At 46.3% G+C, this 21,025-nt stretch overlaps 1 protein-coding gene and 1 long non-coding RNA gene across 27 annotated transcripts in view, besides 2 other annotated features; one reads left to right on the top strand and one right to left on the bottom strand.

Annotated features, from left to right (window-relative positions):
* Positions 1–21,025, bottom strand: part of CTIF (cap binding complex dependent translation initiation factor) — a 324,187-nt gene that overhangs the window by 49,751 nt on the left and 253,411 nt on the right. The window lies entirely within an intron of this gene.
* Positions 1,930–1,979: an enhancer, noted in NCBI's record as "active region_13297". NCBI's record gives its function as "activates an Ori minimal core promoter by ATAC-STARR-seq in GM12878 lymphoblastoid cells {active_cell/tissue: GM12878}" and the evidence as "EXISTENCE:reporter gene assay evidence [ECO:0000049][PMID:35858748]".
* Positions 11,735–12,174: an enhancer, noted in NCBI's record as "active region_13296". NCBI's record gives its function as "activates an Ori minimal core promoter by ATAC-STARR-seq in GM12878 lymphoblastoid cells {active_cell/tissue: GM12878}" and the evidence as "EXISTENCE:reporter gene assay evidence [ECO:0000049][PMID:35858748]".
* On the top strand, positions 15,564–19,312 carry LOC105372106 (uncharacterized). Of its 3 annotated transcripts, XR_007066463.1 has the most exons (4): positions 15,564–15,643; positions 15,714–15,902; positions 18,619–18,806; positions 19,117–19,312. It is a non-coding gene; the product is annotated as an uncharacterized LOC105372106 (long non-coding RNA). The 3 variants fall into 3 exon arrangements; XR_007066462.1 differs by having other exon boundaries at positions 18,619–19,312; XR_001753443.2 differs by lacking the exon at positions 19,117–19,312 and having other exon boundaries at positions 18,593–18,992.

The following is a 21,025-nucleotide window of genomic DNA, read 5'->3' as shown; positions in this document are numbered from 1 at the left end:
AGGCGCAGAGCAATATGGCATCTACACAAAAATCCTGCCTGGCAGAATAAAGGAGCAGTGTCGTGAAAACTTAATGGAAATGTGTAACTCTGAACATATTAATGACAATCAACCAGATATAAATAAAATGAAAAACTCAAGTGCAAAACATGTGGGCTTGTATGTAAGGAGAATGACAATATAGATTCTATGATGTGTGAATAGGCATTCGAAGGAAGGGATTGTGATTAGCTAAGCAACTCTCAGGCTGAAATGAAGTGTGAGACAGGAACTGGGATTAGGAGAGAGCCAATGGAAACTAGAAATCCAACAGCAAAATCAAAATGAATTGGAGGCAGTAAAGGATAGAATGGATAATGCAGAAAAAGTAATGCAGAAGATAAACTTGGAAACCACCTAGAGAGCAGAATAGATAAATAGACCAGAAAGCTGAATACAAAGATAAATAGACTAGAAACAAAAAGAAAAACGATAGAGAAGATAGAGAGTGGACATCTAGTCTGTGAATTAGAGAAGTTTTCAAAAAGCATACCAGAATACACAGAACAAAGAGAGCAGAGAAATAAACTTTCTCACTGAAAATAAATAATAATAAAAATGAGTTGACTCTTTGGGTAAAAAGTGTTCACAGTGTTCCGGAAGTCCCTTGCCCTGCCCCAGTTTTACTTAGCGGAATAATTTTCTTTTCTTTTTTCATTTTTTTTTTTTTTTTTGAGACAGGGTCTCGCTTTGTTGCCCAGGCTGCAGTGCAGTGGTGCGATTAAGGCTCACTGCAGCCTCGACCTCTTAGGCTCAAGTGATCCTTCCACCTCAGCTTCCTGAGTAGCTGGGACTACAGGCATATAACACTATGCCTGGCTAACTTTTAAATTTTTTTGTAGAGACAAGGTCTACGTTGCCCCCGCTGAATTTTCTTTTTTAGTTTCGCAGAAAAAGAAAAATTTAAAAACAGCTACGAAGGAACAAAAGACAGTCTTCTTACAAAGGAAGAAAAATCTGGTTGGCCTTATACTTCTTTATTTGAGGTTAAAAATTCAGAGACATGAAGGCAACGTCTTCATGAGTTTGAAGGGAAAAGAACAAACCTGCCTATGAGTGAAAGCGAGAGAAAGATCTTACATAAGCAAGTTCTAAAACAAATCACTCCTACATGTTTATCTTAAAAAATTCAATGCTGCAGTTGCTATGAAAAATAGTATGGCCAGCTGGGCGCGGTGGCTCACACCTATAATCCCAGCACTTTGGGAGGCCAAGGCAGGTCGATCGCTTGAGGTCAGGAGTTCGAGACCAGCCCGAGCAACATGGTGAAACCCCGCCTCTACTAAAAATATAAAAAATTAGCCAGGTGTGGTGGTGGGTGCCTGTAATCCAAGCTACTCGGGAGGCTGAGGCAGGAGAACTGCTTGATCCCGGGAGGCGGAGGTGGCAGTGAGCTGAGATCATGCCACTGCACCCCAGCCTGGGGGACAGAGTGAGACTCCATCTCAAAAAACAAAATAGTATGGTGATTCTTCGAAAAATCAAAAACAGAATTACTATATGATCCAGCAATTCCACTTCTGGGTATATATCCAAAGGAAATGAAATCAGGATTTCAAAGAGATGTCAGTATGTAGCATTACTGACAAGAGGTGGGAGCAACCCAGGCATCCACCCACAGATGAATGGATCAACAATACGTGATATATACATACAGTGGAATACTATTCAGCCTTAAAAACAGAAAGAAATTCTGACACATGCTGCAACGTGAATGAACCCTCAGCACATTATGCAAAGTGAAATAAGCCAGTCACAAAAAGACAATACTGCATGATTTCACTTATGCAGGTATCTAAAGTAGCCAAACCCATAAACAGAAACGACAGTAGAATGGTGGTTACAAGGAGCTGGGGAGCAGGGGACATGGGGGGTTAATAGGTAGAGAGTTTCAGTCTTGCAAGATGAAGAAGTTTTAGAGACTGGTTGCATGAGAATGTGACTCTACACTATTGAACTGTACACTTAGAAATGCTTGAAATAGTATATTTTATGTTATTTTAAAACTACAATTAAAAATAATAAAAAATAAAAAGAACTTTCCGAATGCATGTTATGGCCAACAAAATTTATGATTTAACTCTGAGGAAACCATGGTATAGAAGAAACAGAAGGGAAAACTGAAACTACAACCAGGTAGACTTATTAAGTTAAGTTAAAATAAGTCATTATAATTTTGGTTATACAATGGAATCAAAAGCCAGAAATAATCCTTGGAAGAGAAGATATTTAATTTTAAAATGTAATTTAAATAAGAATTTTATAGTAGTAGTGACTTAATAATCCAAGATTAAATTACTAGAGATTAGTAAATACTGGTGGGAAGGGGATAGAAGTCTGTAAAGCACACAACATTTCCTAATTTAGGCCATAAGGATTCACAGGTTATTGCATCTTTCTTAAGCTTGGGAATCAGAGAAAAAAAATGAAAGTATGCCTTTAAAATGCTAAAAGTAAACACTAGTAACCACTAGCAGAACTGAAAACAGGATATAAAAAAATAAATGGATGGGTAAAAACAAGAGTGAGCAAATGAAAATAAAGTAGTAGTAAAAGGGAAGTATTTTTAAGATAACAATTATTAAATAAAATTATAAGGTTTTATATATAAAAATACAATCCATAATAAAGAGATAACACAAAATGTTATAGACTTTATAGTATAGATTTGAATATACCTGAAGCTATTGAAACATAAGAAAAAAAAAAGAAACATAGGAAAAAAACCAGAAAGGAAGAATTATATCAGGAAATAAAACCACTAACATTCTATGGCCGATTAAATGAATAAAAAACAAATGACTTAGGTGATTTAAATAATATAGTTAATAAGATTAAATTGAAACAAGCTTCATAGTAAGCTGTGATCTCAGTATAAATTTCAAAACATAGAAATTGTACAGGTTACATACTGGGACTATGAATTAACAACAATTAAAAAATAGCCAATTGCTTGAATACTTAAAAGGTATTCTTCTAAAGAAAAATGAAATAAAGACATACTCAAATATACAATACCTGTATTAGATTATCTAGGAAATAACTATAAAAACTTGTGGGATGTGGTCAAAACTATAATGAAAGGTCAATTTATAGTCTTAACTATTTTGGCCACTAAATAATGGAAGAAAATATATCATCTAAACCAATGTTATCCAATATGGTAGCCACTATCCACATGTGACAATATATTGAGCCCTTGAAGTGTGGCTATCCCGACTGATATGGGCTGTAAGCGTAAAACAGATATTACTTTTCAAAGGCTTAGTATAAAAACTAGAATGTAAAATGTCTCATATTTTAAAAATATTACCTACCTATGAAATTTTATAACACATATTATTAAATTTAAAATTACATATGTAGATCACATTATACTTCTACCAGACAATGTTGATCTAAACATTTAACTAAAACAATTAGAAAACCAACAATAGCTAAGGAAATATAAGGACATAATACAGATAAAACCCCCAAATTAATTACTTAGGAAATAGAGAAAGGAAATCACATATAAAATCAAGAAAGAAGAAACAGAAATAAAATTAGATATGAAAACAGATATGATATAGAAAAAAAGTATAATAAAATTATTTATAACTCTATGTTGATAATTTTGAAAAAATGATGAAATAGGTGATTCATTAAAAAAATCAACATTTGCTAAAAAAGAAATGAGCCAGAATAAACTAAAAATTCATAAGCTAAAATGAAAGTTATGAAAGAATTACCTTTATAAGGAAATCTCTAAACTTACAATTTTTATAGGTAAGTTCATTCAAACTTCCAAAAAATTAGGTAACTGCTTTCCTTTGCAAACTGACTCAGAACATAGAAAAAGAGACGCTTTCCAACCAGTTCCCTATAAACAAAATCTCATGATAGTAAGTTACAAATAAGGAAGTCTACAAGTTAATCTTGCTAATGTGAATAGATATAAAATCCCAAGTGAAATACTAACAAACAGATCCATTATAACCAAGTAGATTTTTATCAGGAAGGCATGGATGACTTAGTATCAGGAAATCTATAAATGTAATGTATTACTTCAATAGGCTTGATTAAAAAACGGCAGCAACACCTATGACCCTTAGAATGGAAGAGATAAAATGATTTGATTAAATATATGGAAAATCTGAGAGAAGCCTTTAATAAAGAGTATCATTAACAAGAGAGTTCAGTGACTAATTAATAAGAATATTTAGATACAAAATTAATACACAAAATCAACAGCTTTCTTTTATGACAGAATTAACTAGTGAGATTTTAATGTACAAAGCTCATTTAATAAAGCAATAAAATACTTAAGTGACATTATTAAGAAATATGCAAGAATTCTATAAAGAAAATTGCCTAACAAAACTGAAAGATTTAAGAGAACGTCTTCAACTAGCGAAGAAACACACACAATTCCTTATTGAGAAGACAGCATTGTGAAGATGGTAATTCTCTTTGAAATAATTCACAGGTTTAATATCAATCTGTACTCCATATCCCAATGTGAACTTTTTTGGGAGAAAAGGAAATGAAGACTTGAAAAAATAATCCTAAAAGTAATTTGAAAGAATAGCAAGGGAAATAACTAAAAACAAAACAACATTGGAAAGAGTTACACTACTCTTAACTTATCCTTAATAAAGCTTTATTCATTAAGAGGCTGTAGAGCTGACATCCGAATGGAGAGCTAGATCAGATAGCCTAGAAACAAATTTGGCATCCACAAAGGTTTATCACATGATCCCTTGAGGACCACAAATCAGTGGCAAAGGAAGCATTATTCACTCAAGCAACAGTGCAGGGACAGCTGTCTAAGTATCAGGAGGAAAATAATTTAGAATCTTACTTCACACTGGGCTCTAAAATAAATTCCAGATGGAATAAAGAGTCAAATGTTAAAAAAAAAAAAAAAAAGGACCAAAAATTTGAAGAGAATGAAAGAGTATTTCTCACATTTCTGGAAGGAGGGGGGCTTTCTTCACTAAGACAATGGAAGAATGCATCAAAATATTAAAAGACAATTGATATGCTCAGGAAAATACACGCAATAAATGTGACAAAGGGCAATGGTCTTAATATATAAATAGTGTGTTCAAATTTGTAATAAAAGTATGAAATCCCTCATGAACAAATGGGGAAAGGGCATTAAGAGGTAAATCCTGTGTCAAAATGTAAATTACTAATACATATATGAAAACAACTTAATTCAATATCAGTAGTAATTGAATGAATGAAAACGTCTTTTTCCCATCTATATATATAAGGACAACTTAAAATGGTAATTGTCAATGCTGGTAAGGATGCAGTGAGACAGGCACTTATATATGGGCATTGGTATGACTTTTCTGAAAATCCTTAAAATAAGTCTTAAGAGTTCTTATTGTTTGCTCTGGTAGTTGCACTTCTGGTAATTATCATAAGGAAACAATTTAAAATATTAGAAAAAATAAGCTTAATGCACATAAAAATCTAAAAACCTAAGCACCCAACAACAGGGGAACAATTAAGTAAATGATGATTCATGCATCCATTAAAAATTATGTTTATGTGGCCAGGTGCAGTAGCTCACGTCTGTAATCCCATCACTTTGGGAGGCTGAGATGGGCAGATCATCTGAGGCCAGGAGCTCATGACCAACCTGGCCAACATGGTGAAACCCCATCTCTACTAAAAATACAAAAAAATTAGCTGGGCATAGCAGCACATACCTATAATCCCAGCTACTCAGGAGGCTGAGGTAGGAGAATCACTTGCACCTGGAGGTGGAAGTTGCAGTGAGCCGAGATTGCGCCACTGCACTCCAGCCTGGGCAACAGAGCGAGACTCTGTCTCAAAAAAAAAAAAAAAAAACACAACAACAAAAAGTTTATGAAACGTTTACAATAGCATGGGGAAAATGTTTATATAATGTTAAATGAAAAAAGCAAAACTGAAATTGCATTTACCATATAATCTCATCCATGAATAGAGTTTTTTTTAAAAAGAAAGAGGAGAAATAGTGTTTCACAGGAGTTGTCTCTCAATAGCGGAATTATGGATGACCTTTATTCTCTACATTACTTTCTGAATTTCTGATTCTCTGTGAATGTTTCTCTTTATAATCAGAAAAACAGCTATTTTAAAAGAAACTGGCAGGTTGTGACCCTTTTCCTTGATTTTTTGCATTAGGACAGTGGAATTCTTCTGGTAATCTGCCAGTCAGCAGTGATTCTCACGAGAAGGGTGGGGAACTGGGGTGTGAACATGCCCCGCCCAGAGGCCACCAAAACCCAGCCTGTGTGTCTCCTCTTGACACATGTTATAGGTTGCCAGCTTTTCCTCTGGAACAAGGAGTCCTTTCTGCCAACCGAAACAAGCCATTCCTCTAGCTCTGCCCCTAACCTCAGCCTCTTGTATCCAAAAGCAGCAAGGGGCCTCAGATTGGTGGCAGCCATTTCAAAGCCTGGTATTTGGCTCTAGGTTCTCATCTGATTGGCAGGCTACCTCCCAGCAACCCCTAGTGCCTTTCCCCAAACTTTAAGGCTACCATTTAAGCCCCGTTTCCTGCCTAAAACTATTTATTGACGTACTGCTATTTCCTGCACCGGCCACATCAATAAGCCCTGAAAGCCATTCAGTGTCTCAGGTTTCTCAAGGCATTCTGGGAAATTCTTCCCACTCGGGATAACCACATGAGCTCTGGCATGGTGGAGCGCAGTGGCCAAGCCAAAAACAGCTGTATACAGGCAAAGGGGAAAAAACACCCCCACACCACCCAGCAGCGCAAACCACCACAGGGAGATGCTGCTGGAGGGTGGGGTTGGGGGTAGTCGAGGCACAAGGACTATGATGCATATATTTTTTACACTTCCTGAGGGAGATGGGCAGCCCCTACCAATCGCTGCAAACTCACCTTCATTTCGGGCTCCCTCTTGGAAAATGAATGGCCTAGGGAAATTTGCCCATCCAAACGCTATGCCCCCAGTGACCCTGGTTTGTTTCTGTCCAGAGAGGTGGCTGCTGTTGCCATCTCTCCAGTGGGGAGGAGAAAGTGCACTTTTATTTACTGCTAGCAGGAAGTTTCTTTTCCTTGAGAAGCTGGATACATGTGGGAGGGACAGACCATGGGGAGCTGTGGGAGCCCAGCAGCCAGGAGTCAATCCCAGGCATTCTTCTCCCGGGCAATTGGTTGCATGGCTTAAAAAACATATTTGACAGAATTCTTTATACTGAAAAGAGGAAACTAATTTTCAAATAAAAGGTGCTTTATTTTTTATTTGGCCCCAACTTTCCTTCTTTCACCTTCCTGCTCCCACATTCCCTCTTTAGGGAGGCTTCCCTGGCTGTCCCCTCCACCACAGCCCCCGGGACTCCTCATTCCGACTCTGCTATGCTTCCTTCCCAGCCCTGATCACCTCCACTAGGTCTGATGTCTGTTGATGACCTGACTTTTTGCTAGAAGGGCTTCCTGAAGGCAGGAATCCTGTTTTCTGAGCCATCTTCATGTCCCCTGGAATGGGACTTGGCTCGTTGTAGGTGTTCAATGAACGTGTGTGGACCGGATGCATAAATATCCCACGGTACGTGGTCAGACAGCTCTTCTCTAAGAGGACAACCTGTCCAAAGGGTAGGGGGCTGTTAATCTAAGACATAAGAGTACAGAGTCAGCATGTATGCCTGTCTCATCTTTTCTTTCATTTGTGGCTGACAGTTCACTCCTGATATTTTCTTCCCACCTTCTCTGGGCCAGTCCCAGTCCCTGCTCCAAGGCCACCGTCTCATGACATTTGTTTCACTTTTGTGGGTAACATTTTTGCCATACAGTGATGTTTCTTGGCTTATTGGATTTTTTTTCCCCCTTCCCAGGGTTGCTTCAAGTAAGGCCACGACATTCCGCAGAGCCGCCCTTTGGTGGTGTGGTGGGGTCACAGTTGACGTCAATGTAGCTCCACCCCAACCCCGAGTCTCCCCTGTGTCAGACTCTCCCCTCAGGGCTTTGCTGAGGCTAGTTGCAATCCCCCCGGCAGGCTTTCCTCCTTGGTCCCCCCCACCAGTGAAGCCCCCTCACTCCTCCGTTCCTATCACACAGCCCAGGGCCTGCGGCCTGGCCCCCATGGCTAGACCTGGCCTTGGGTAGTTCCTGGAAGGCTCTTTTCTCACCCCAGTCATCATCATTTGGGAGGAGCCCAGGACAGGAGCCTCCAGCTCAGAGAGACAGTGCAGTCCTTCCTTGGCACCTGTTCCTATCAACAGTGAAGCAGAGGGCTGGGAATTCCCAAGCGTAGGGCTGGCCTGCAGCATGGAACCCACAGACACTGTGACACATCAGGTTACCCCCAGCCTGAGAGACGACCCTGAATGTTCCCTTCTGTCCTTCCCTGGGACTTCTGGGCTCCATGAAACCTCAGAATCCTTACAGAAAAGGATTTAGCAATGTTAAGCCACCTCAAGTTGGTTCCTGTGACTTGGGACAAAAAGAACTCATCAGTACAACAGGCTTCTCCTAGGTGACAAAATAATGGATTCCCAGGCCCTGGGGATGAGGATGAGACTGGGGCCTGGATGCTGGGGACTGGACGGTGAGGGGCAGAGTCAGAGAAGTGGGCACTGAGGCTGGGTGGGCAGTGCTTCTAGCAGAGCTGGAGTCAGGATAGGAGGAGAAGCAGGGAAGGGGTGATCTGGTTATTGCCCGGGTCCTGGGTGGCAGCCCATGGACCCTGCCTCTCACACACCCACCTAGGGCAGCATCGTGGAAGGTCTTGGCATCAGTCTGATTGGGTCAGGCAAACCTCCTTGGCTTAAATGAGTAACATGTGCAACGTATCTGGTGCAAAGTAGGTGCTGAATAAGCGGCAGAGAGACCTGGTAGCTGTATCCTGAGTTACTCCATCCACCAAAGCCTGCCTCGGACCTGGCCGCCCCCGACCCCTGGCAGTCTGCACATGCAGCCCAGCCAAGGGGCATGTCTGCTGGGCTGTACTCACAGCTGGCCATCATGCCACGTCCTGGCCACAGCTGCCAGTCTTGGCTCAGTCCTGCTGAGCCCTGAGGCCTGGCCCTGAGGACTCAGCCACACCTAGACTCTGGAGCAGTCAGAATCTGACCTGCATGTCACTCTGCACTCTGGCAACAGTCTGTGGTGGCTGCACATCTTGTCTGGAGGGAGACGGGGACCATGTGGGCACTGGGCTGCAGCCTCCGCCCTGGGACAAGTTTGCTTGAGTTCTGATGCCAGCTGGGCCCTGAACTACTCCTTGGGTTTGGGTGTGTCCCTTTTTAGGTGGACTTGAACCTTTCCCCAAGTATCCCTGATCTCCCTGGCCAACGACCCCTGACCATTCCACTGCTTCACTCTGCTCTGCCCCTAGACACTGAGGATTCTTGGATGCCAGTGACAGAAACCATCTCAGACTAGCTGAAGAGGCACACAGGCCTGGGCTGTCTTACATGGAAGGTGGGCCCTAGGACACAGCCTGTCCCCAGGGCTCAAACAGCAACCCCAGGGCTGGTCCTCCCTTCTCTCCCCTCTCTCCCTTGTCTGGGCTTTGACTTGCATGCTGACTGATTTTTCTGCTGCCACAGACAGGTTCTCCCTTTGCCATGGCTAAGATGGCGGTCAGCAGCACCTGGTCTCTCTCATAATGGTTCTTGAGCCAAAAGGAAGACAGAGCCCCCCCTCCCCAAATGTCAAACCCTCAAATCTCAGGGAAGGATTCTGACTGGCCCTGCTCATCACATGACTATCTCTCAGCCCAATCACTGTGGCTGTGGTGATGGGGTTCCCTGATTGGACAGAACCAGGTCATGTGGTCATTCTGCAGCTGGGGCAGGTGGGCTCAGTGACAGATCCCTGGACCACACGCAGAAATAACAGCTGCCCCCTGCAATCACAGGCCTTACCTAGGACCATCGGGTGGCTGTCACAGGTGCCTGACACTCTCCTGAGCATCATGTCAAATTCCCGATGTACTGGGTGATTGCTGCCCTTTCTGTCCCATCCAAAAGAATGAAGAGAGAGTGATATGATGAGGATTATCTTGAATCTGCTCTAATCAATGGACATGAAAATCAAGCCCCAAATGCCGATCCTTTAACTATTATTAATAAAAAATTACCAGACACATTCTCTGTGACTGATGGTTCATGACACTGTGGCTGGAAATGCTTTCTCCCCAGCAGTTGGCTCTAGACAAAGGGCACACACTGTGGCTGGGAACAGCCATCAGCCACTTCCAGCTAAATCTGGATCACTCTGGAGACATTTCCAAGTTTCCCAGGCTGTGAGCACCCAGCATATTTCTATTGGCAAAATCAGGTCAGGTAGGCTCAGCTCTGCTGATCCGTAGGAGGGGACAGGGAGGCGGGGGGATGGCGCTGGGTTGCAGCAGAGAGAAGCTGAGAAGTCAGGCTGATCCAGCAGGAATTCTGTCTCACACTTAGGCAGGCGCGAAGCCTTATTCTCAGGCAAGGGAGCCAGCACCTGCTGTGGCTGTGGCCTTGAAAAGCCCTCAGAAGAGGCTGGAAGTTTTCCTTTCAGCCTGAGCAGAGAGAGAAGGCTGGATTGTCTGACAGATGAAGAATACCAGTGGGACAAGCAGGAATTCCTCAAAGCAAGGTGTCACTGGACTCAGCCTCAGGGAGGACGTTAGTACCACTTGTCAGGTCAAGGGGCGTGAGGGGGCTGAAGTTCCCAGGCTCAAGGGCAGCCCTCAGTGATTACACACTTAGTAGCTGGTGCCCGTGCTGGCGCCCTGATCTTCTCTGCCGCCTGCCTGATGTTCATGTCACTGTCTCGCCATACCTCTACACAGCACTCTGCCTTTCTAGGCACTTCCTGCAGCTTTCCTGGCTCTGCCCCACACAGCAGCTCACTGGAGGATGAGGCTCCTTGATCTGCCTACCTTCTGAGGTTGACAGAGCTGGAACCCAGGTCTCTGATCCTGGGCCTGGTGCTCTTTGGACCCCCCAAGGCATCAAGTTTGAAAAGGTCATCATGCAGACATGACAGCCACCCACCCCTGCCTTACACTTCCCTCCAGGTCCTCAGAGGAGAGGGCTGAGTTGTTGTCTCTGCAGAATTCGGATATTCCCTGCCTGGCTGCCATCCTGCCCAGGAGAGAGGCCGAGGGCTTGGAGACAGGTGTTTGCCAGGCCTAGGCCCGGGCACAGGTGGTAGGTCTTATCCATGACATGAAGCTCTCTGTGGAAACAGAGTGGGGCTGTGCTCACTGAGGCCTCAGCCTGAGGAGCAGGCCAACCGCAAAATAAAAGGACAGCAAGACTGGCCAACTGCTGTGACTCTGTGTCCCCATCTATAAAATGGAAAGTCACCATGTGACTGTCAGGCCAGTCACCGTGCCTCTGCATCCTTATCTATAAAATGAAAGAGACCTTTGACCTGCACCCAGGTGACAGAGTGACGCAAACAGGTGTAATAACCCTTCCTAATCAGCAAAGGGTGACTGTGCCCATATTCTGCTATGTGAGAAACTGAAGCATAAGTTGGATGAATGTTGTATCCAAGGTTTCCTGTGGGAGGAACTGGGAGCTGGGGCCAGAATTCAGCTTATCCAGCTTTTTGGAGATTCCTAGAGTCTTCTCCACGGTTTCTGCCTGGACCAGGTTCTACTAAGAAGGTTGGGTCCCCAACCCTAGGCAGAAATGGCATCTGGGATCCCTCTGCTCTGGAAGCAGTTGGAAGCTGAAGAAATGACTTTTGAAACCCTACTTTCAATGAGTGGCCCAATTACTTCTGAAATTGTCCGGAAGACTGGCTTTAAAAATAGATGAATACACAGGCGTTACTAAGCTATTTATAGAATTTGAGAAAACCCCTTGAAATGCTCACAAAAAGATTTGACCTATAATGGGGATTCCAGAATGACTCGGCCTGAAGCTCACATCCACCCACAACTTTGAACTTTGCCACAGATGGTCTTTAAAAGTCATGTTAACATTTATGTGGCATTATCCCTCAAGGAAGCTGCAATGGGAGTGCACACATCCTTTATCTAAGCCGTATCCCAAAATGTCTACTGGACAACAGTTGAGGAACAGCCGGAGGCGGAGGGAGCCAGGATAGAGAAGGACACAAAGTCTAGGGAGCTTGGGGGAGACCAACGTTTGCGTCTGTGAAATGGTGATCCTGGCCTGTGCCTGCCTCTGGAGACCATATGGGGTTATAGACCAGGAAGTGACTGTTGTGCCTGCCATTTCTGCAGACGTGGATGGCAGCTGTTTGCACCGGGCTCTGTCTGAATGGGCCCCTCTCTCACAGTGTGCCATTCTGTGTGGTTCTGCCCCACTGGACTCAGTGAGGTCTGTTCTGAGCAGTGCCGGGGGTGGGGGTGGCCCTGAAGGAAGTGCTCAGACCTTCTCCATTCGTTCTGAGATCCGGTCTGAAGACTAGATGGGCCCCTTGTGTTGTTCCCAAGGAGGCTTGGGCCACCTGTGGGGATGGGTGAAGGGCAGTTGAGTGGGCAGACTCAAAGCTCCTGGATCCCAGGCAGAGGCCCTTTGCCAGGTCTGTTTCATGTGGTTGAGGACACGCCTGAGATTGAGTTTGGAAAAACAACTCTTCTGCTAAAAATACATGAAAATCACTAGTGTGTCAAGATATGCACAATGGGTTTGAATGCCAGACAGGCCTGGGTGAGGCACTCTGGTCCGACTCCCACTCAGCCCTTGGACCTGGGCAAGCCCCAGGTCTTCTACCGTCTCACGTTCCCCACCCAGAAAAGGGAAACACGGCTAAACACCGTGATGATGAAAATGCCTGGCCAGGGGAGCACCTCCGCAGATGCCTGCTCCTCCTGCTTCTTTGGTCTTACCAAGGACATGGGTGTGTGGGGGGTTATCCATGCCAGGTGTTATGGGGTAGCCTGGCTGACCTCCCACACCTTGGCCAGTGTATGGTGGGTGTTGGAGTCAGCAAGAGGGAAGGTATCTCTGCAGACAGGAGGGAGAACAGTAGGTGGCTACTGACATCAGGGGACTGAGGGTGGGGAATGTGATGGGCTGGCTGGAGATGGGGGCAGATGTTCCGGCTGGCCCTAGTTTTGCCTGCATGTTTTATTTCCTTGGCTAGACTGTAAGCCTCTTGGGTATCTTATTCCTCTTTTCCTCTCTTGAGTATCTGGCAGAGAGTACAAAACAGTACAAAACTGCCAGGTATAAAACAGCAGTGTGGGGACTCACGTTGACTTGATGTGTGAATGGAGGCCATCAAGATATTTCTGATGATGGGGATGCTGACTGTGAAATACTGGTAGAGTGGGGAAGAAAAATCCATCCTGTCACCATGCATACCAAGGTGCCCCACCTTCACCCCACGGTGCTTCTCTAACCAGAGCTGGGGACCCTCTTCCTCCGGCTGCTGAAAAGCTGGTGCACATGCACCTCCTTCAAGTCTCGGTCTACTTGTTTTCTCCTCCCAGAGGCCCTCTGCCTTCTCTAAGTAGGCCCTCCACTCTTGTGACATCCCTCACTGTGTTGTGTTGGCTCTTCTGTGTGGCCCCATCATAACTGGAAATGACACACCTGTAAGCTTATGCGTTCAGTGATTGCCTCTCCCACTCGGATTGCAAGTTCTGCAAGGGCAGAGAAACTCTGTCTGCTTTATTCGGCAATGTACCTGCTGCGTCTAGGCCCCTGGAGGCCCTCAGTGTGTATCTGTTAACTGAATAAATGGATGGGGGGCTCCAAGGCAGTGGCAACCCCAGGGAGGAAATAATCTGGGTGCACAGAGAGAGGTGGGCTTCTGGCCCCTATATTAATGGGGAAGTCCCTGGCTAGATCTGAGCTTGGCCAGAGAAGGCATGAAAATGAAATTACTCTGGCTTTGGGCTATTATAGAAGTTCCCCAGGAGAAAGGGTGGCATCTAGGATGGGAAGTTCATTCTGTCCTTATTCAGGTGTCCACTCACGATGTTAACAAATACGTCCCATGCCAGTGTCCCCAGATAAAAATACAAGAAAGGACTGATTCCTCACCAACATGGGATCCAGTAGGACCCAAGAGGGAAGAGGAGCACAGAGATCCAAATGCTCTAGTGAAAGACCAGAAATCCATCATCTGGGGCTGCTTTTTGACCTTGGGCAAGTTATTTACCCCACTGGGCCTCAGTTTGGTCATCCACAAAATAGGGCTGATTCTACTTGTCCCATCAAGCCCATAAGTTGTTGTGAAGATTGAATGAGGCAAGAGATATACAACCTCCTTGTGAACTGAGAGTATTCTACAAAACTGCATGGTTTGTCTTTATGGCCAGAGACCACACCTTGCTTATCATCCCCTTAAAATCTGGCTTGATCCTGGCCTTGCAGAGCTCAGTAAGACTTTCTGAACTGCTCCGCGTGACCCGAGGCTGCTGGCTGGCACCATTCACCTTCTCCACTCATAGCCCTGCTGACCCAGCCACCTCCTGTCAAGTCACGCGCTGGTGGCAGCGAGAGGAGGCTCCATCTGCCTCAAGATTAGAGCAGCCTTGCCTCATTCTTGGCACTACTGACATTTTCGGTCGGCTCATTGGTTCTTGGGGGGTGCTGTCCTGTGCACCGTAGGCATCTGCCCACTCAATGCCACTAGAAGCCCCTATCCTCACCCCCAGTTGTGAAAGCTCCAGATAAAATATCTCCAGACGTTGCCAAGTGTCTGCTGGAGGCAAAATCACTCCTGGTTGAGAACCACTGCTGAGAGTGACAATGGTGCCCAATGCTCCCACCCATGGGACAACTTCTCAGGACACAGCAAGATCCAGAGGCACTTGAGAAATACTGGGGAGCGCATTAAGAGAGGGGGCTATAATGTAAGGCCTGCAGGTGGGGGTGCACCCCGAAACTGCCTTTAGAAAGCTGCAGGCTGCACAGGACACACACCGGTATGCCACACAGTTACTTCATGGGACTCGGAACTCAGTACTGTGCTAACTTAACACACACTCAGTAGCAAGTGCAGACAACCTGTCCCTGCACTGAACCCACAGACTGCAAGCACTTTCCCACTTGTAGAGAACAGATAGGGAAGCATGGTTTTCAAAAAAGCACGAGCCCTTATGTGTGATGAACCCCAAACCGAAGAGGGTTAAATAAAGCCCGGGCTCTGGAACTGACAGCTCTGGGCTTCAGTTGTGATGGCAGCAGCATAAGCAAATTCTCTCCCAGGAGTCTAACTGTATCTTTAAATGTGAGCGGCTTAGCATGCTTAACACTACTTATTTGAGGGTTCCTTGGACAACAGATAATTCAACTGCGTTTACCAGATGACGTTAACAAATACCTCCCACGCCAGTGTCCCCAGATAAAAATAACACCAGCTCCCTCACAGGTCTGCAGAAGGAAAGGACAGGAGGCTGGAACTATCAATCCTGTCTGGCACCTCCTCACCCGTCTGCTTGCCCCTGGTGGCGCTGGCTCTGCCGCGGGCAGAGGAAGTGCTACCCAGGTGATAAGAGACACTCTGACTGTGGTCAGAGGAGCAGAGAGGCCTGGCAGGGTCTCTCTCCACCTGCTACTGGCTTTGCCCACCACCGAGGGCTCTGCTTCCTGGGCAAACATCCAAGGAGAGTGCAGAGTACCAGCAGAGCTTGGGCAAGTCACTCGGCCTTGCTGAGCTGCATCTGGAGAATAGGTTAGTAAGATGCTCCCTGTTACCTCACACAGGTACTATGAGATCTAACTGCCTGATTCCTGTTTTACAGGAGAGAAACCCAGGGAGGACTAAAAGTGCAGGCCTCATTGGATGAATCTGAGGAACACGTGGAAGGGCACTTTCTGCCTCAGAGCATCCCCCCACCCCAGAATACCACAGTGCCTGAGGTCAGCCCATTAACACCGCACCATCAGGATAAGGCTCTGTCTCCCCAGCAAATCCCCAGTCAACTCACAAGGTAAAATATCAGCTACAATTCATGCCAGCACAGTTCAAGGGATCAGAACTCAGAAACTTGCCCCCCCACCCCTTTTCTTTTTTGGATGGAGTCTTGCTCTATCACCCAGGCTGGAATGCAGTGGTGCGATCTTGGCTCACTGCAACCTCCGCCCACTGGGTTCAAGTGATTCTCGTGCCTCAGCCTCCCAAGGAGCTGGCATTACAGGCACGCACCACCACCCCCAGCTAATTTTTGTATTTTTAGTAGAGACAGGGTTTCACCATGTTGGCCAGGCTGGTCTTGAACTCCTGGCCTCAAGTGATCTGCCCACCTCGGCCTCCCAAAGTGTTAGGATCACAGGTGTGAGCCATCGTGCCCAGCCAGAAAGTTGCCCTTTTATGAGAAAAACAGGACTGAGACAAGTTGGATTTGAAGGGAGAAAAATTAGGGATAGTTTAGATATTCCCTATAGGGTAGTGCTCTGGGAAATCATCTACCGGGTGGCTGATCACAGGAGGCCTTGGAGTCCACAGGGGACTCTGACAAGTACATTGGAGACCTGGGCAGAGGGAGGCCAGTGCTGCAGATGGCTGACATGGCCTTTTTGCTCTGGGGTGGGCACCTGTGATTCCAGCTGTCAGAAAAAAGACCTGAGCTCTATAAAGGATGGTCTTAAGGAAACTGTAGATCTCCAGCCCAGACTCACTAAGCAGTGTGGATAGGGGAAACAATTCTCGTCACACAAGTCCCTCAGATCAGCTACCCACGCGATTTCAGTAGGAGTGCACTTACAAATATTCCAGAAGCTGTGAGCATGTAAAAGAGGCAAGAGCATTCTAAGTCCTTCTCCCCTGGGCAGCTGTGGGCTGGCTTTGCCTGTTCTAAGTCCTTCTGCCCTTGGGTGGCTGTGGGGTTGAGTGTGGGGGCAGGTGTGATGGGATGGCAGAGGTTCGGATGGCCACTTCCTTGTCATCATGTCCATGTTGATAAGCTACTTTCTGTTCTCACCATCTCCAGCTTGCTCCCTTTGTCGGCACACAGGCCCTCACTGATCCATAAACATGCAGAATGATGGACATGTTAGCCAACTTCAAAACTGGGCATTCAGGCCAGGTGTGGTGGCTCACACCTGTAATCCCAGCACTTTGGGAGGCCAAGGCGGGCAGATTGCGAGGTCAGGATATGGAGACCATCCTGGCTAACATGGTGAAACCCCGTTTCTACTAAAAATACAAAAAAAAATTAGCTGGACATGGTGACGGTCGCCTGTAGTCCCAGCTACTCGGGAGGCTGAGGCAGGAGAATGGCATGAACCCGGGAGGTGGAGCTTGCGGTGAGCCGAGATCACACCACTGCACTCCAGCCTGGGCGACAGAGTGAGACTCCATCTCAAATAAAATAAAATAAAATAATTAAAAAATTAGCCGGGCATGGTGGCACATGCCTGTAGTCCCAGCTACTTGGGAGGCTGAGGCAGGAGAATCACTTTAACCCGGGAAGTGGAGGTTGCAGTGAGCCGAGATCATGCCATTGCACTCCAGTCTGGGTGGCAGACAAGACTCCATCTCAAAAAACAAACCAACCAACCAACACCTGGGCATTTGGGGATTGCTTCTCTTCCCTGTCCTGACCTATAGTTCCAGTGACTTCCAGCACAGGAAAGATGGTACCTGGCTGAGAGCTGTGGGTGCCAGGTGGCTCGGCTTTCCCAGGGTGTGGATGGCAAAGACTTGTGTTGGGGGAAAAAAAGCCGTTTTCTATAAACATTAAATTCTTACACTAAACCCTCCCTCAAGAGAGATGGCCTCCCCTAATAGTCTGAAATTCTTCCCAACACAGAATTCTTAGTAATCAGGCTGATGACAACAGAGAAAGTATACCCAAGTGTTGAACTTGATTCTGGGGAACCAGAGGAAGGAGGACTAGTTCTATTTTCCAGGTTAAAGAGCTCCTGGGAAAATAGGACTACCCATCTGAAAGAGCCTGGGGATGCAGGTGCCTCTTTGCAAGCCATTTGAAGAAACCCGAATAAGATAAAACTAAGAAGTGACTTTTTTCCCCAATGGGCATCTTCATTAAATGGAAGAGCTCACTGCAGGCTTCCTTTTATCTGGGACTCCCTTAAAATACTCCTGGTTAGATGAGAAGGTGAAGTACAGGCTTGCATCTGTGGTAGCCCATGAGATGGCCCATTTTTCAAAAACTGCATTATCAGAATCCCAAGAAATTGTGACCTTGGAGAAATCAGGTTGGGGGAGAGGCTAAGGCCCACCTGCAGGGTGTAGGGCACTCTGAAGGGGTCTAGGGAGCGAGAGGAGAATGGCAGTTATGGGGGCTCTTGAAATGACAGCCTCCATGCTCTGATGAGCCTCTCTCTGGCAACTAAGTCCATGGTTTGACACAGTATCCTTCAAGTAAAAGGTAAGCTTGCCAGCCAAGGATCAAAAAAAGCCAGGAGTAATGCCACCTGCTTCCAAAATATAGCTTCTTCCTAAGGTGAAGGTGACATCTATTTAACAGGAAGCTACGGCAAAACTAACCACTTAGGATTGCCATGTTCTGCATGAATCCTCACACAGGACTCTCGCCAGCTAATGTGGAGTCTATAGTCATCCATCTATCCATCTACTCACCCACCCTGACCCATCTATCCATGCAACCCCCTACCGATCACCCATGCATCCACACACACATCCCTCCCTCCACAGATGCTTGTGGGCCTCCTCTCTGCCAGGTGCTGACTCGAATGCAATACACACAAAGGGCCTGGGGGAAGGAAGATCCGAGGCTGCCTTCTGAAATCTGCTGAACAATCAGGAAAACCTCCAGAGTTCCCACATGTTCCAGTCTGACAAGCATCTCCAGAGGGCATCTCCAGAGGGCATCTGCTTCGATCCCACCTGCCTTCAATCATCCTGGGTGGTTTGTAAAGCTGTCCTATTTTTAAAGCTATTCTGGGAAGAATGTTCCCAAACTTCCCTCTGATTCCAAGTTTCCCTTCAACCCCCCACCTCAGGCAGTTGGCTACTGAAATGTCAATCCCCACTACTCAGCCAGAGCCACCCCATCTGTGGGAGAACCAGCCGTAGCCCAGCAACCCCTCCCCCGGCCCCAAGACCCTTCGCCCACCCTGGGGAGGCCAGGTTTGCTGTTTGGGAGTTTAGCTGAGGCCCTTAGCTCTCGAGTTGCAGATGGCCCTTAGATCTGGCTTTCCCCGACCCTGTCTTTCCAGCACTGCTGTGCCGAACCCTCACTGATTCTGTGCCTAATGTGACTTAACACTGTTCAAAGGCTCACCCATGCCTTCAGCTTGGAACTGAGCTGGGAGGAATACATCTGTCAAAGGAGCAGCAAAAGATGTGAGTGGTATTGACTGCATATCTCTAGGAGGAATGGGCAGAGAGCAGGAACCAAGCTGGGGGCTAGAATGGGGAAAGTGAGGTAGAATGGCCCTGGGGCATTGCTTTGGGGGGCTGAGAGCCACCCTTTGGGCTACTAGTCAGAAAACCCAAAGGATCCCAAGGTGGTACAGATTACCTCGCCTCCCCTGGGGAGATGGGGATGGGGATGAAATCTGTAGAGCAGAAGCGAAGGTAACAGGTGCTTAATTTTTAGTATCCCACTGCCAGCACTGTGCGGGCATGGGTGGCTGGGAGACTCAGGATCTCATCTGCAAGGCTGGGCTATGTGATACAGTCCTGTGGTCTGTGTATTGGCTGCCTGGAAATCAGGCTTTTCCCCCAAAACCTTCCCACTTTCCTGGGGAAATGGCACTCAAGTCGGATAAAACTGGGGTGGGCTGCCATTTTGAACTCATCTATTTTCCTGCTTGGGCATTGGTATGGCAGCCTCAAAGAAGTATTTGGGAGCAATTTTAGGGAAAAGTCAATAAATGAAGATAAACTTGAGCTGGGCTAATTGTTAAGAAAAGAGAGGAGGAGAAGGGGGCACACAAGAAGCCCCCTGGAGCCTGTGGCCACCCAGCATGTCACTTGCGCCAAGGGATTCTGTTTACTGAGCTATCATCATGAGGGAGGAAACATTTTGTCAGAAATACAGAGCACAAAATATAGTGGGCGCTAAAAACTTAATCCTGCTGGCACCACATTACAGAAGCCAGAGTTGTAAATGGCTGTGGGGAAAGGCCTGAGTTATATAAAGCCACAGGGAGCAAAGCTGGCCCCCAGGCACCTATCCTATCCTCTCTGTCAGTTTCCCAAAGCTGAAATTTAAGCCTTACCAAGGAATAAAATGATAAAATGACACCACTTTCCCAGGAAATGTCAAGAGACTTAGAGGGGGTGGGGTTGCAGCCTGCCCCTCCCTGCTTCTCCCTGGCAGGAGCCTCCTGATTTATAAGGATAATTACTTGTCTCTCCTGAGCCCTCCCTTGTGCTAGCCTGCAAGGGGATCCCAGGGAGGGGGCAGAGGCTGAAGCCTCTCTCCTGCAGTTGGCCTGTTGTGACAGCGGTGGAGTCAGAGCCCCGTCATCAGCCACCCATTCATAACTCTAGACAACTGGAGACACAGCTTCTGCTCTACACCAAGTGGCCTTTGTACCATAGATCCTCATCCTCTGGAGATGGCATCCTGTCTCATGGTTTTAAATACCACCTAATAGCACCACCTAAATACCACCTGGATAGAAATTAGCTCCCTGAGGCTTATTTCTATCCAGATCACCCCTCTGAATGCCGGGCTCCAACTGTCCACTCAACCTGGCCACTTCCTATTGCACAATTCCAACATGACATGTCCAATAGTGAGCTCCTGGTCCACCCTCCTGAAGCATCTTCCCCACCTCAGTTAGTGGTAAGCCCCTCTTCCAGTTGTCCAGGCCCCAGATCTTAGGTTATCCTTGACCCCAACATTCTTTTGCACCTACGTCCAGTCCTTCAGAGGATCCTCTCAGCTCTTCCTTGAAAGTAGACCCAGACTCTGACCTGTCCCTTCACCCTAATCACTTCACCACCACCCCTTACTTAGACTCTCCCTTATTTACTCTCCCACATTTACTCAACAGATTTGTGGATCCATTGCTTTTATGCTCATTGTCCCCCTAAAGGCTCCAGGCTGGTATCCCTGCATCTACTCCACCCTTTCAGACTCCTCTCAACCCAGCAGCCTGAGTGACGCTATTA

This window comes from Homo sapiens, chromosome 18 (genome assembly GCF_000001405.40).
Source record: "Homo sapiens chromosome 18, GRCh38.p14 Primary Assembly".
NCBI lineage: Eukaryota > Metazoa > Chordata > Mammalia > Primates > Hominidae > Homo > Homo sapiens.
The sequence above is the reverse complement of the archived record's forward strand: the minus strand, read 5'-3'. Positions and strand labels throughout refer to the sequence as shown.